At 38.1% G+C, this 16,168-nt stretch overlaps 1 long non-coding RNA gene and 1 pseudogene across 1 annotated transcript in view; both read right to left on the bottom strand.

Moving 5' to 3' along the window:
- The window catches only part of DISC1FP1 (DISC1 fusion partner 1), a 663,821-nt gene that overhangs the window by 616,962 nt on the left and 30,691 nt on the right, over positions 1 to 16,168 (bottom strand). The window lies entirely within an intron of this gene.
- Positions 13,918 to 15,528, bottom strand: TUBAP2 (tubulin alpha pseudogene 2; annotated as a pseudogene).

The following is a 16,168-nucleotide window of genomic DNA, read 5'->3' as shown; positions in this document are numbered from 1 at the left end:
ACTACAAGGCTACTGAAACCAAAAGAGCATGATACTGGTACAAAAACAGATATATAGACCAATAGAACAGATCAGAGGCCCCAGAAATAACACCAGACATCTACAACCATTTGATCTTTGACAAACCTGACAAAAACAAGCAATGGGGAAAGATTCCCTATTTAATAAATGGTGTTGGGAAAACTGGCTAGCCATATGCAGAAAGATAAAATTGGATCCCTTCCTCACACCTTAAACAAAAATTAACTCAAGATGGATTAAAGACTTAAATATAAGACCTAAAACCATGAAAACCCTAGAAGAAAACCTACACAATACCATTCAGGACATAAGCATGGGCAAATATTTCATGACTAAAACACCAAAAGCAATGACAACAGAAGCCAAAATTGCCAAATGGGATCTAATTAAACCAAGGGGCTTCTGCACAGCAAAATAAGCTATCATCAGAGTGAAAGGGCAACCTACAGATATGGGAGGAAATTTTTGCAATCTATCCATCTGACAAAGGGCTAATATCCAGAATCTACAAAGAACTTAAACAAATTTACAAGAAAAAAAAACCTCATCAAAAAGTGGGCAAAGGATATGAACAGACACTTCTCAAAGGAAGACATTTATGCAGTCAAGAAACATGAAGAAAATCTCATCATCACTGGTCATTACAGAAATGCAAATCAAAACCACAATGAGATACCATCTCACTCCAGTTAGAATGGCGATCATGAAAAAGTCAGGAAACAACAGATGCTGGAGAGGATGTGGAGAAATAGGAACGCTTTTACAGGGTTGGTGGGAGTATAAATTATTTCAACCATTGTGTAAGACAGTGTGATGATTCCTCAAGGATCTAGAACTAGAAATACCATTTGACCCAGCCATCCCATTACTGGGTACATACCCAAAGGATTATAAATCATTCTACTATAAAGACACATGTACACATATGTTTATCGTGGCACTGTTCACAATAGCAAAGACTTGGAATCAACCCAAATGCCCATCAATGATAGACTGGATAAAGAAAATTTGGCACATATTCACCATGGAATACTATGCAGCCATAAAAAGGATGAGTTCATGTCCTTTGCAGGATATGGATGAAGCTGGAAACCATTATTGTCAGCAAACTACCAAGAGAACAGAAAACCAAACACCAAACACCACATGTTCTCACTCATAAGTGGGAGTTGAACAATGAGAACACATGGACACAGGCAGGGGAACTTCACACACTGGGGTCTGTTGTGGGGTGAGGTGCTAGGGGAGGGGTAGCATTAGAAGAAATACCCAAGGTAGATGACAGGTTGATGGGTGCAGCTAACCACCATGGCACGTGTATACCTATGTAACAAACCTGCACATTATGCACATGTACTCCAGAACTTAAAGTACAATAATAAAAATCTACATTAATAATTATGTTATTAAATTTGGTACACTTTTAAAGAATGATCACAAAACATAGGTCAAAATATTCTGATTATATATTTTCAATGATTAAGAAGGCTTGATAAGGAATTGGTAATTATTATGGCAGTTATTTAATAAACTTTAATTCTTTCAGTTTCAAAGTAGTAGCATCCAGTGAAAGCAATGATTCCCACCCACCCACCCCCCTGCCACCCAGTTTAAAAAAGAGACTCTTATTTGTTTAAATTATTGATATGGAAATAAATTAATATATTTCTTAAATCTAAATGTATATTTGCAGGCTGCATTTTTCTGGCTTTCTTTTTAAAATAAAAGATCAAATATGATTTTTTTTTCATCTCACAAAACAAAGAAAAGATCAACACAGACATAATGGGTACTCATTTCTTTATGTGTAAGAGTGCTGGTACTAGACTTTCCAGATGACTAGGTGAGATAAAAAGAAAGCATTTATTATGGAAAAAACTCTGAAAAGAGTTCTAGAAATTCTAGATACACATGGACAGAATGGTCAGGTATTCTACAGTAGTTTCACCTCTAAATTGATGAAATGAAATCAGTGGCTTTCAAATTGTATTCCAGAGAAGCTGCCAGGATTTCATAAATGTTTATACAAATTTAAATATTTTTTATTTTTAGTTACGATAAAATACACAGAACATAAAATTTACCAACAACCATTTTAAGTGTACAGTTCAGTAGTGTTAAACATATTCATGTTGCTGTGCACCAATCTCCAAAACTTTTTCATCTTGCAAAAGTGAAACTATAACCATTAAACAACAACACCCTATTTCCCTTCATCCTCAGCCTCTGGCAAATATTCTAATTTGCTTCAATTTGTATTGACTACTCTAGTACCTCACATAAGTGGAATCATAAAATATTTGTCTTTTTATGATTAGTTTATTTCATTTAGCATAATGTCCTTAAGATTAATCCATGTTGTAAGCATGGGTCAGAATTTCCTTCCCTTTTAAGGCTGAATAATAGTCCATTGTATGTATATACCACATTTTGTTTATTCATCCACTGTTAGAAATTGGAGTTGGTCCCACTTTTTGGCTATTGTGAATAATACTGCCATAAACATGGGTATACAAATATATCTTTAAATGTTTAAATGTATTTTAAAATACTTAAATAAGAAATGAATAAGCAAACATGAAAATGTCACAAGCCAAAGTTTCACTTGTTGATCTCCAGTGTATTAATGTGTTTTTGTATAAACTTTGAAAATGAAGATTAACCTGCTCTCATATTTAATATATCTGAACTTAGTGTAAATATATCATTAGCTATATATAATGCTTGTACTGTGACACTGGCCTTTTATTTAAATTCAGGCCTGTATGTCTGTTCACATGTAGGTTATTCTACTAAAGCACTCAGCAACATACTCAAACCATCGGGCTTGAGTTTTCCTGCTTTGTTTGTTTTCTTTATGGTGTAGTACGAGGTGTCTTCAAAATGTTCATGGAAAACACACTATGAAGAAACTATGCATGAGTCTGAGCAGGGTGGCTCACACTTGTAATCCCCGCACTTTAGGAGGCTGAGGTTGGCGGATCACTTGAAGTCAGGAGTTTGAGACCAGCCTGGCCAACATGGTGAAACCCCATCTCTACTAAAAATATGAAAATTAGCTGGGCGTGATAGCAGGTACCTGCAATCCCAGTTACTCAAGAGGCTGAGGCAGGAGAATCACTTGAGCCGGGGAGGCAGAGGTTGCAGTGAGCTGAGATCAGCCACTGCACTCCAGCCTAGATAACAGAACAAGACAAGGATGGAAGGAAGGAAGGAAGGAAGGAAGGAAGGAAGGAAGGAAGGAAGGAAGGAGGGAGGGAGGGAGGGAGGGAGGGAGGGAGGGAGGGAGGGAGGGAGGAAGAAAGAATTTCAAAACTTTTTGCACCGAAATCAGCTTATACTAACTTGTTATAACATGGCTGAACAAGATCTTGTTTACGGCACTAAGAAAGTTAAGACATCAGTTTGAAAGAGCCCCTGTGAATTCTGCTAAAACAAACAACAAATTTATGGTAACGCTTGCATGGAAAAATGGTGAAATCATTAATGCTTTTTTCACAAAAAGCTTATAGGGAAAATGCACCCAAAGAAATCAGCAGTTTACAAGTGGATAACTTGTAAGAAGGGACAAAATGATGTTGAAGATAAAGCCCAAAGTTGCAGACCATCCACATTTCAAGAAAAAAAAAGTTTGTCTTGTCTGTGCCCTATTTCAAGAGGACCAACCACTAACCGCAGAAACAATAGCCAACAGTATAGACATCTCAACTAGTTCCACTCACACAATTCTGACTGTAGGATTAAAGTTGAGCTAAGTTTCCACTTGATAAGTGCCAAAACCTTTGTACCCAGATCATTTGCAGATAAGAGCAGAGCTTTCAATGGAAATTTTATACAAGTGAGACCAAGATCCAGAAGCATTCTGTATAGTCTCTTCTCATGCTACTAATAAAGACATACCTGAGGCTGGGTAATTTATAAAGGAAAGAGGTTTAATTGATTCACTGAAGGCGAATGAGGAACAAACTCACATCTTACATGGCAGCTGGCAAGAAAGTATGTGCAGGGTTTATAAAACCACCAGATCTCATGAAACTCATTCACTATCACAAGAACAGCATGGGAAAGGCCCCCACCATGATTTTGTTATCTCCCACTGAGTACCTCCCATGACATGTGGGGATTATTGCAATTCAAGGTAAGATTTGGGTGGGGACACAGAGTCAAACCATATCACATTTCTTTGAAGAATCGTAACAGGAGATGAAACACGGCTTTACCAGTATGATCCGCAAGACAAAGCACAATCAAAGCAATGGGTACCAAGAGGTGGAAGTAGTCCAGTCAAAGCACAAGCAGGCTGGTCAAGAGCAAAAGTCATAGCAACAGTGTTTTTGGATGCTCAGGACATTTTGCTTACTGCTTTCCAGAGGTTCAAAGAATGATAACATCTGCTTATTGTAATAGTGTTTTGAGAAACTTAGATAAAGCTTATATAGCAGAAAAATATTTGGGAAAACTTCATCAGAGTGTCCTTTTCCACCACGACAATGCTCTTGCTCATTCTTTTCATGAAACAAGAGCAATTTTGTGAGATTTTTAATGAGAAATCATTAGAGATCCACTTTACAGTACTGATTTGGCTCATTCTGACTTCTTTTTGTTTCCTAATCTTAAAAAATCTAAAAAGAGCATCCATTTTTCTTTATTTAATAATGTAAAAAAGACTGCATTGACATAGTTATGTTCCAAGACTCTCGGTTTTCTAGGGATGGACTAAATAGCTGCCATCATTATTTACAAAAGTGTCTTGAGCCTGATGAAGCTCATGCTGAGAACATTTAAGATTTTTTTATCTTTTAATTTCATTTTCCAGAAGCTTTTGAGATCCCTCTATAATCTGTACAAGTAAATGCATAATACATCATATTGAATAATATCATACTATGGTTTTATGATTACTGTATAAGAATTGGTTGTTTGTTGATTCACTTTTGTATACCTGACAAGAATACCAGCAATTGTTACATAATGGAAGACTTCTGCAATCACTTACACAACATATCTTTTATTACCTACTAATATTCTAATATTCAAACTTTCTCAACCTAGTAAACACCTGTACACTCTTCACAACAGTACAAGTGTCACCTCTGTGAAGCTGCATATAATTCTCTTCTGCAGTCTCACAGATAGATCTGCTTTCTTTTTTGTTTCTCCACTGTAGTCGTTACTTTATTGCATGCTTCTGTCATTCCACCTTTTATTTTTTATTGCTTCTATGTTTAATTTTTCATCTTTATTGTAAATTTCTGTGTCTTAAATAAAGACACAGACTGAGTCTTTATTCATATTTGTATATGTATTCTATTGTAGAATAATCATTCAATAAAAAATTTTTGGAAGGGTGAGTCTTTATTAAGTTAAATCTAAACCTCAAATTGCAATACATTTAGCAGGTGCTTCTTGGTTTTTTTGTTTCTTTGTTTTGTTTTGAGATGGAGTCTTGCTCTGTCGCCCAGGCTGGAGTGCAGTGGCACGATCTCAGCTCACTACAACCTCTGCCTCCTGGGTTCAAGCCACTCTCCTGCGTCAACCTCCCGAGTAGCTGGGACCATAGGCGCCCACCACCACGCCCGGCTATTTTTTTATATTTTTAGTAGAGACAGGGTTTCACCGTGTTAGCCAGGATGGTCTCGATCTCCTGACCTCATGATCCACCCGCCTCGGCCTCCCAAACTGCGGGGATTACAGGCATGAGCCACCACGCCTGGCCTAGCAGGTGCTTCTTAATAGTCGTAATTATAACCCTGGATGAATAGACAAGCATTAAGAGTCCCTATCATTCTTGATAGCTTATTTGATGAGTGTCCCAGGATTTCATAATAATCTGTTTTTAAAAGTAGTTATTATTTTAAAAAATTAACTTGTATGATTCAGGATTTTCTCTGAACAGTACCAACAAAGCAAAATACAGAAATAAATTGGATACTAAGGCTAACGTAATTCCAACTGTCATCTCTAGCAACCAAATTTAGAATTTTAGACACTTGTGTTCATCAAAACAGACTCATTGTTTTATCATGTTCAAAATATTTAACTGTTATAAAAATAAATATATAGCATAAATTTATATTAATTGTCTTACCCTTTTGTCAGTATCATACATTCAGATTACACATACTAATGGGTTTGGTAAAAGGAGATTCCATTAAGAAAACAAAAATAAGGTTTTGAATAACTTGTAGCCAGATAATCTCTGAAAACTCCCAGTTCTCATAATTTATGAGTTAATAGTTCCTCTTCACTGTCAGCTAGTCTTCACATCCTCAGTCCTGCTTTAGACGGCCCATGGAATTATCCTGCTCGCAACCTATAGCACCAAACTAAGACAAGGAAAAACCCCATCTATCTGGTGAGCTTGAAGAGAATTCTTAAAGGTAGAGCTATAAATTCCACTTTCCTTCCCCTTAGATGACCGTAAGGTTTAACCTTTCACTAAACTACACACTAGCTGTTTTACCTGATTATACAGGTTTGCATCCTAAAACTCATATCAGTATAGAAGATGAATATTTCTGGGTGTTACATGGATCACACTTTGTAGTGTGAGGTAGTGATGACATTGTAGTGATGACAAAGTGTACTTGATAAATTCAATTCCACAAGTGTATATTAACACCCACTCAGTGCTAGGTCTTGTGCTACATGCTGGTGATAGTTCTTTCTTCTTCCCTTCATACAAAAACTCTTTGAAAGAAAAATCTACATACTTATCTTCTCTTCCTTCTCTTTCCATTCCTTTTCAACCTTCAATCACCTGACTTCTAACCTAACACTCCATATAAACCACTCTGGAAAAGATCCTTATTACTTCCTAATTGCCAAATTTAATGGACTACAGTCAATGTTTAACCTACTGTGCCTGTTTGCTGCATTTGACATTTTGACTGCTTGTTCCTACTTTGGTTTCTCTATGTCCATTCTATCCTTCTTCTCTTTCTGCTATTTTTATATATTTAATCTCAGAGGTCCTTTGTATCTTATTTATACCTCAAATGCTATATTTTTCAATGTCTTGTCCTTTCTTCTTTCATTTTTTCTTCTTTTTTTCTTTTCTCTTCTTATCCTCACTAGGTGATCTCATACATATCCAGGGCTTCAGTTACCACTCACATGCTGATAGATCCCAAGGCCACAGTTCTAATTTAGAGCTTTCCTTTGATAACAAATGCTGTCATATATCTCTTCTATAGAAGCCCAATGGGCACCTCAATCTAAACCTATATAAAACTGAGCTTGTTATTGTTTCTTCTGGATTCATCTAATTCTACTGAAGTCAGGCCCCTCATTATCTCTTGCCTAAAATACTGGAAAGTCTCCAAGCTGATCTTGTTGTGAAATTCCTACTCCTCAGTCTATCCATTACACCTCTAACAGAGTGAAATTTCAAAAAGGTAAATGCGATCTTGTCAGAGCCCTACATAAAACATATATCTGGCCGGGCGCGGTGGCTCACGCCTGTAATCCCAGCACTTTGGGAGGCCGAGGCGGGCGGATCACGAGGTCAGGAGATCGAGACCATCCCGGCTAAAACGGTGAAACCCCGTCTCTACTAAAAATACAAAAAATTAGCCGGGCGTAGTGGCGGGCGCCTGTAGTCCCAGCTACTTGGGAGGCTGAGGCAGGAGAATGGCGTGAACCCGGGAGGCGGAGCTTGCAGTGAGCCGAGATCCCGCCACTGCACTCCAGCCTGGGCGACAGAGCGAGACTCCGTCTCAAAAAAAATAAATAAATAAATAAATAAAAAAAAACATATATCTGACTGACTCCAAGTACCCAGACAATAAAGTTCAAATTCCTTGGTACGATATACAAAGATTCCTTTACAACATCCCTACATTTACAGTACTACTGTAATGTACTACCCCACATCAACTAATTTCAGTTTTCAAATAAAACATGCTATGTATAACCTTCTGTAATTCTCATATTAGTCCTTCTGTGTAGAAAATTCTACCTCACAGTTGACCTAATGAACTCTTGTACACGTTTCAAAGGAGTTCAAATCTCTCTCTAATAAAGCTTTCCATCACTCCTCCTTACATCCCCATAGATAGAAAGACACTCATTATATTTTGCTCCTTCACTATAGCCAATTAATATTTTCATCATGGAGTCTGATTTACTAACCTTTTTTTATGTGTCTGCTTTACCTTTACATACTTTAAGTTTCATAAAGACAGAGTCTTTGTCTTATTCATTATTTTATCCCCAGTTTTTCATATGTTAAGTATCCAACAAATGATTAGTAAAAGCATGATTGCATAAATAAATTAATGTGAAAACTTTTCTGCCCTCATCTGTCTCAAAGCCTAATGGGGAAACACATACACAAACATTAAAAATTATTCAGTATGTAGCTTCAGTGGTTGAATTGTGTGCATTCTGACTGTTATTTCCAGTTACGTCAAAGGAAGACATATATAATCACAGTAAACATAAAGTGTCTTGGTGTGTCTTTTGCAATTTGTGTGTGTGTGTGCAATTGTGTGTAGTTGGTTTTATACATCCCTCAAACACTAAAGCAAAATAAAAATACAGAGCCTGAGTATAATATAAAGTTAGTCAAACTATCCATATAGCAATTTATTTTTAGAGAATAAATTTCATGAGAAATATGTGAGAAGCTACCCCTATACAAGGAACCTGTGTTTTTATCATGTCCTAAATTCTGTGGTTAACAATGGCTGTAGATTAGAAAACATTTAAGGTTGTGGTTCTTTCAGCTGTTGGCAAATTGTAGAACACAAAAGTAAGAGAATACAAAAAAGAAATCCATTGGAAACTAAACCCAGTATTTGAAATTCTGAGTTGTTCCCTGGGCTTTAGTCATGTTTTTTCTCATTGGAGTAGGGTCAGTGTGACAGGGCTGAAGTAGATGGAAAAATGATGAATGTAATCAGGGGAAGAGGTTGAGGAAATTATTCTGGAACCCATGATTTAGGTTTCAAATAAAGATACTTTCCAAAGGAAATGAAACTGGTGAACTCAGTTTGCTCCCTAGCAACTACTGTAGTGGAGATGCAATATGAATGCATCGGCATGTTTCACATATTGGGAATCTCTGTGGAAATGTATAATGAGCTCCTGTTGGGTCGGTTTTCCATCCTATGCTTCAGTGCGAGGGCATGCAGTTGTCCAGATATCTGCAGCATTCTGAGCTGCTCAACAAATTTTAAACGTTTTGGTGAGAAAAATAGTTTGACGGTTTCCCTAAATACTCTCCAAGGTACCAGGCTGATAACAAAGTGGAGCCCCCAAACTTAAACTGAAGTCTGCATCATTTGAGTGTCCAGCATGGCAAGAAACTGGCTGACATTTACGTTGAAAATCACACAGGCCATGTGGCTATTGATAAGCTTATTTTCAGAAAGAAATACACAGTGACATTTAATCAAAATGTAATTCATTGGTATGAAATTTGATGAGCTAGCACAAAGTCAATTGCGTTTGATGGTTTATTTCCAATTAACTTAAGACACATTTTAACTTTCCCTGCTTCTTAACAGTTAATTTTTTAAAATCTATTCATAAAAATTAAATAAACACAATGTGCTGAATTTAAAAAACTATCTTTATCTGTTTCCATTTTCATCTCTTTCTTTTTCAATCTCTTTCATCCTTTTTTTCTTTTAAAGAAAGATAGGACGTGAAGAAGGACTGCCATCTACTGGTACACAAGAAACATTTCTGAAATACATGAACAGCACCAGGTACCCTGGTGGCTTTGTGGAAAACATTCTCTGACACAAAAGAAAAGGTTATTATGCTTTACACCCTTTAAATGAAACAATGGTTAATATATTCATTTACTCACTCACTTCAACAAAATTGAATTTATCACCTACCAGTATTGCCAAGCACTGAGCTAAATCCATAGAGAACACAGAAATGACTAAATCATGGTACTTGATAGAAAAATCATTTCATTTTCTTTCCTTCCTCTTTTCATGTACTGTCAATAGTATACAAATATGTTTTTGTAGCATGCACTTGAGTTAATGGATTGAGGCTCTGAGGATAATATCTGGAAAATATTAAATATTTACAGGCTATGCTGCTGGAAAAAAAATTCCCAGGAGGATGCCAGAAGCATACAAATCTCATAAATACCTCTATTCTCACTCATTCAATATTCAGTCTACTTATTTTAATATCTGTAATAATCCCTTTAAATATTACTATTCACAAAGGAATAAAGACAGAAAAGTAGCTCTCTTAAATGTTTTTCTTAATAGGAGATATAGAAAAGGAATATTGAAAGTGGTACAGAATACACACAGATATGGATTTCACAACATTAATACTGACAAATGCATTGAGAATATTCAGCACATACCTGAGGATGTTAGCAAGCCTGCCCTAATACCTACGCTACCTACTCTATCAAGCCAGAAACACTCAGGCATTGAAAAAAGCTTACAACACATATGACCATCAAAGACGAGTTTAAAAAAATGTATAAACATTGCTGATTTAAAGCATTTCCATTATAAACCTTACTTTTTCATGAAAACTTGGTTTTCCCAGGACACATCAACTTTGAAGATGATGCAAAGATATTTGTAGCAGAGACTCCAACCCGATTTTATTATCACAAATCCAAACCTTCTCAGCCTCCCTCTACCTGTGGATATAACACTCATAAACCCCCTTGCCAACTGAAAGAGCATATATCTTTCATTTACTTCTATAACCTAGTCATAGTATAATGCTTGGCCCGCTATAGGTCCCCAGTACTTTTATATTAAGAGACCAAATGAATATCATTGACTTTTTTGTCCTGTGGGAAATTAGAGAGGCTCCCACCAGTGATATATCAATGCCTTGCCCTATTGCTTCTAAAGTCTCAATATTGCTTTATTAAAGAAAAAAATCATGGTGAGGTAATTTTAGCCTTAAAGAAAAGTTACAAAGATAGTAAATTCTCATATGGTCTTTATCCAACGTCCCCTTAATGTTAATATCTCACATAACCAAAGTATAATTATTAAAAGTAAGAATATAAAAACCATACACTACCATTAACTAAACCAGGGGTCTCCAACCCCTGGGTCATGGACTGGTACCCATCCATGGCCTGTTAGGAACCGGGACGCACAGCAGGAGGTGAGCAGCAGTTGAGAAGGCAAAGCTTCATCTGTATTTACAGCTATTCCTCATCTCTGGCATTACCTCCTGAGCTCCACCTCCTGTTAGATCAATGGTGGCATTAGATTCACATAGGAGTTTGAACCCTATTGTGAAATGCACATGCAATGGATCTAGGTTGCACATTCCTGGGATTCTAATGCTTGATGATCTGTCACTGTCTCCCATCACCCCCAGATAAAACAATCTATTTGCAGGAAAACAAGCTTAGGGCTCCTACTGATTCCACATTATGGTGATATATGTAATTATTTCATTATATATTATGATGTAATAATAATATAAATAAAGTATGCAATAAATGTAATGCACTTGAATCATTCCAAAACAATTCCACCCTGGCCTGAGTCTGGAAAAATTGTCTTCCACGAAACCAGTCCCTGGTGCCAAAAAGGTTGGGGACCACTGAACTAAACTACAAAATTGTTTTAGTTTATCCACCTTTTCCACTAAAGTACATATTTATGTTCTAGGACACAGCCACACCTCGTTTTGTTGCACTTCACTTTATTGCGCTGCACAAATACCATGTATTTTACAAATTGAGGACTTGTGGCAACCCTGTATTGAGCAACTCTATCAGCTTCATTTTTCCAACAGCATGTGCTCAATTCATGTGTTTGTATCACATTTTGGTAATTTTTGAAATATTTCCAACTTTATCATTATTAGTATATCTGTTATGGTGACCTGTGATCAGTAATATTTGATATTACTATCGTAATTGTTTTGTGGCACCACGAACTATGTCCATAAAAGATAGTGAACTTAACAGGTAAATGTTATGTACATTCTGACTGGCTCCATCAACCAGCCGTTCCTTCATCTCTCTCTCCCTCTCTTCAGGCCTCCCTATTCCCTAAGATACAATATTAAAATTAGGCCAATGAATAACCCTACTATGGCCTCTAAGTGTTCAAGTTAGAGTCACATAACTATCATTTTAAATCAAAAGCTAGAAATGATTAAGCTTATGAGGAAGGCATGTTTGAGATAGGCCAAAAGATTGGCCTCTTGTGCCAAAGAGTTAGCCAAGTTGTGAAAGGAGAAGTTATTGAAAGAAATTAGTGAACACATGAGTGATAAGAAAGCAATACAGCCTTATTGCTGATATGGAGAAACTTTTAGTGGTCTAAATAGGAGATCAAACCAGCCACAACATTCCTTTAATTCAAAACCTAATCCAGAGCAAGACACAAACTCTCTTTAATTCCAAGAAGGCAGAGAGATGTGAGGAAGCTGCAGGAGAAAGGTTGGAAGCTAGCCGTTATGTGGTACATATACACCATGGAATACTATGCAGCCATAAAAAATGATGAGTTCGTGTCCTTTGTAGAGACATGGATGAAGCTGGAAACCATCATTCTCAGCAAACTATCACAAGGGCAAAAAACCAAACACCACATGTTCTCATTCATAGGTGGGAACTGAACAATGAGAATACATGGACACAGGAAGGGGAGCATCACACACCGGGGCCTGTTGTGGGGTGGGGGGAGGGGGGAGAGATAGCATTAGGAGATATACCTGATGTTAAATGACGAGTTACTGGGTTCAGCACACCAACATGGCACATGTATACATATGTAACTAACCGGCACATTGTGCACATGTACCCTAAAACTTAAAGTATAATAAAAAAAAAAGAAGAAGAAGAAAGGTTGGAGGCTAGCAAAGGTTGACTAATGAGACGTAAGGAAAGAAGCCATCACCATAACATAAAAATGCAAGGTGAAACAGCAAGTGCTGATGGAGAAGCTTCAGCAAGTTATCCAGAAGATCTACCTACAATTATTGATGAAGGTGGCTACAATAAACAAAAAATAATCAGTGTAGACCAAACAGCCTTATAACGGAAGAGGATGCCATCTAGGACTTTCATAGCTAGAGAGAAGTTAATGCCTAACTTCAAAGCTTCAAAAGACAGGCTGACTCTTTTGTTAGGGGCTAAAGCAGTTGGTGACTTTAAGTTGCCACTAATCCTCATTACCATTTCATTTTGAAAATCCTAGAGCCCTTAAATTTACTCTACCTGTGCTCTATAAATGAAACAACAAGCCTAGATGATAGCACATCTGCTTATAGCATGATTTACTAAATGTTTTCAGTCCATTGTTGAGACTTACTGCTTATAAAAAAGATTGCTTTCAAAACATTACTGCTCATTGACAGTGCACCTAGTCAAACAAGAGCTCTCACGGAGAGATGCAAGAAGATTAATGTTGTTTTTATACCTGCAAACTCAGTATCCACTCTGTAGCCCATGGATCAAAGAGAAATTTCAATTTTCAAGTCTCATTTGTTCAGCAGTACATTTCATAAGGCTATAGCTTCCATATAAATTGTGAATCTTCTGATGGATCTTGACAAAACAAGTTGAAAAACTTTGGGAAATAATTAACCATTCTAAGATGTCATTAAGAGCATTAGTGATTTATGAGAGAAGGTCAAAATGTCAACCATAACAGGAGTTTGAAGAAGTTGATGACTTTGAGTATTCAAGACATTATTAGAGGAAGTAACTGCAGATGTGGAAATAGCAAGTGAACTACAATTAGAAGTGGAGCCTGAAGATGTGACTGAATTGCTGCAATCTCATAATGAAACTTGAATGGATGAGAAGCTTCTTCCTCTGGATGGGAAAAAAAAGTGGTTTCTTGAGACAAAATCGACTCTTAGTGAAGATGCTGTGAACATTGTTGAAATGCCAACAAATGATCTAAAATATAACATAAACTTTTTTTTTTATGTTAATGACTGTACTTTGAGACATGATGGAAAAACATTACAGGTACACATGGAAAAGACATGATCACCAAATGAAAATCTAACCAGAAAGCTTTAATGTCTGTCAGCTAAGCTGAAGCTGAAATTCTGGGAGCACGACATGCTGCAGGGCCAAAAGGAATGGATTAGTATTCCTCTCTTTCTTCCTCACCCTCTCCTTCAACAGAATCCACACCAACCTCCTCATAATCCTTCTCAAGGGCAGCCATGTCTTCACGGGCCTCTGAAAACTCGCCTTCCTCCATCCCCTCACCCACGTACCAGTGAACAAAGGCACGCTTGGCATACATCAGGTCAAACTTGTGGTCCAGGCGAGCCCAGGCCTCAGCAATGGCTGTGGTGTTGCTCAGCATGCACTCTGTACCATGGCCAGGTCTCCACCAGGCACCACAGTGGGAGACTGGTAGTTGATGCCAACCTTGAAGCCAGTGGGGCACCAATCTACAAACTGGATGCTACGCTTGGTCTTGATGGTGGCAATGGCAGCATTGGCATCTTTGGGAACCACATCACCATGGCACAATAGGCAGCAAGCCATGTATTTACCATGGCGAGGGTCACATTTCACCATCTGGTTGGCTGGCTCAAAGGAAGCATTGGTGATCTCTGCTACAGAAAGCTGTTCATGGTAGGCTTTCTCAGCAGAAATGACAGGGGCATATGTCGCCAGAGGGAAGTGGATGTGGGAGTAGGGTACCAGGTTGGTCTGGAATTCTGTCAGGTCAACATTCAGGGCTCCATCAAATCTCAGGGAAGCAGTGATAGAGGACACAATCTGGCTAATAAGGTGGTTAAGGTTAGTGTAGGTTGGGCGCTCGATATTGAGGTTTCTACAACAGATGTCACAGATGGCCTCATTGTCTACCATGAAGGCACAATCAGAGTGCTCCAGGGTGGTGTGGGTGGTGAGGATGGAGTTGTAGGGCTCAACTACAGCTGTGGAAACCTGGGGCGCTGGGTAATTGGAGAACTCCAGCTTGGACTTCTTGCCATAATCAACTAAGAGACGTTCTATGAGCAGGGAGGTGAACCCAGAACCAGTTCCCCCACCAAAGCTGTGGAAAACCAAGAAGCCCTGAAAACCAGTGCACTGGTTAGCCAGCTTGCGAATTCGGTCCAACACAAGGTCAATGATCTCCTTGCCAATGGTGTAGTGCCCTCGGGCATAGTTATTGGCAGCATCTTCCTTGCCTGTGATGAGCTGCTCAGGGTGGAAGAGCTGGCGGTAGGTGCCAGTGCAAACTTCATCAATGACCATGGGTTCCAAGTCTACAAACACAGCCCGGGGCACATGCTTGCCAGCACCCGTCTCACTGAAGGTGTTGAAGGAGTCATCTCCTCCCCCAATGGTCTTGTCACTTGGCATCTGGCCATCGGGCTGGATGCCATGTTCCAGGCAGTAGAGCTCCCAGCAGACATTGCCAATCTGGACACCAGCCTGGCCAACGTGGATGGAGACGCATTCACGCATAGTGGCTAGGGATTAGGAGGCGAAGGTGACAGGAGCAGACACTGGGTCCCGGTTACCGTCCCCAACAAGCTAAGAGTTGAGGTAAGTAACACACTGGGAATGTTCCATAAACTTAGTTGATAAAGCAGCAGCAGAGTTTGAGAGGATTGACTCCAATTTTGAAAAAAAAAAAAAAAAAGGCCTACTTAGGTAAAATGCTATCGAACAGCATTACATGCAACAGAGAAATTTTTCATGAAAGGAAGAATCAGTCAATGAGGCAAACTTCACTGTTGTCTTGTTAAAAATTGCCACAGCCACTCCAACCTTCAGCAATCACCACCCTGATCAATCAGTAGCCATCAACATTGAGGCAAGCCTTTCCATCAGTAAAGGCTCAAATAATCATTAACATTTTTAGCAATACAGTATTTGTAAATATGATATATATGATTTTTTAAATATCATGCTATTGCACACTTAATAGGTTATGACTTTTACATGCACTGGGAAACCTAAAATATTATATGACTCACTTTATTGTGAAATTTGCTTTATTGCAGTGGTCTAGAACCAAACCCACAATATCTTCAAAGTATGCCTGTACCACAGTGAATTTAGTTGTTATATCTCTTTAATCCCCTCCCACCTGTGACAGCTCCTCAGTTTTTCCTTGTCTTTCATGACTTTGACACTTCTGAAGAACACAGATCATGAATTTTGTAAAATGGTCCCCACTGTAAGTTTGTCTGATGG

This window comes from Homo sapiens, chromosome 11, assembly GCF_000001405.40.
Source record: "Homo sapiens chromosome 11, GRCh38.p14 Primary Assembly".
NCBI classification, from domain to species: Eukaryota; Metazoa; Chordata; class Mammalia; order Primates; family Hominidae; genus Homo; species Homo sapiens.
This window is presented reverse-complemented; position numbering and strand designations above follow the sequence as displayed.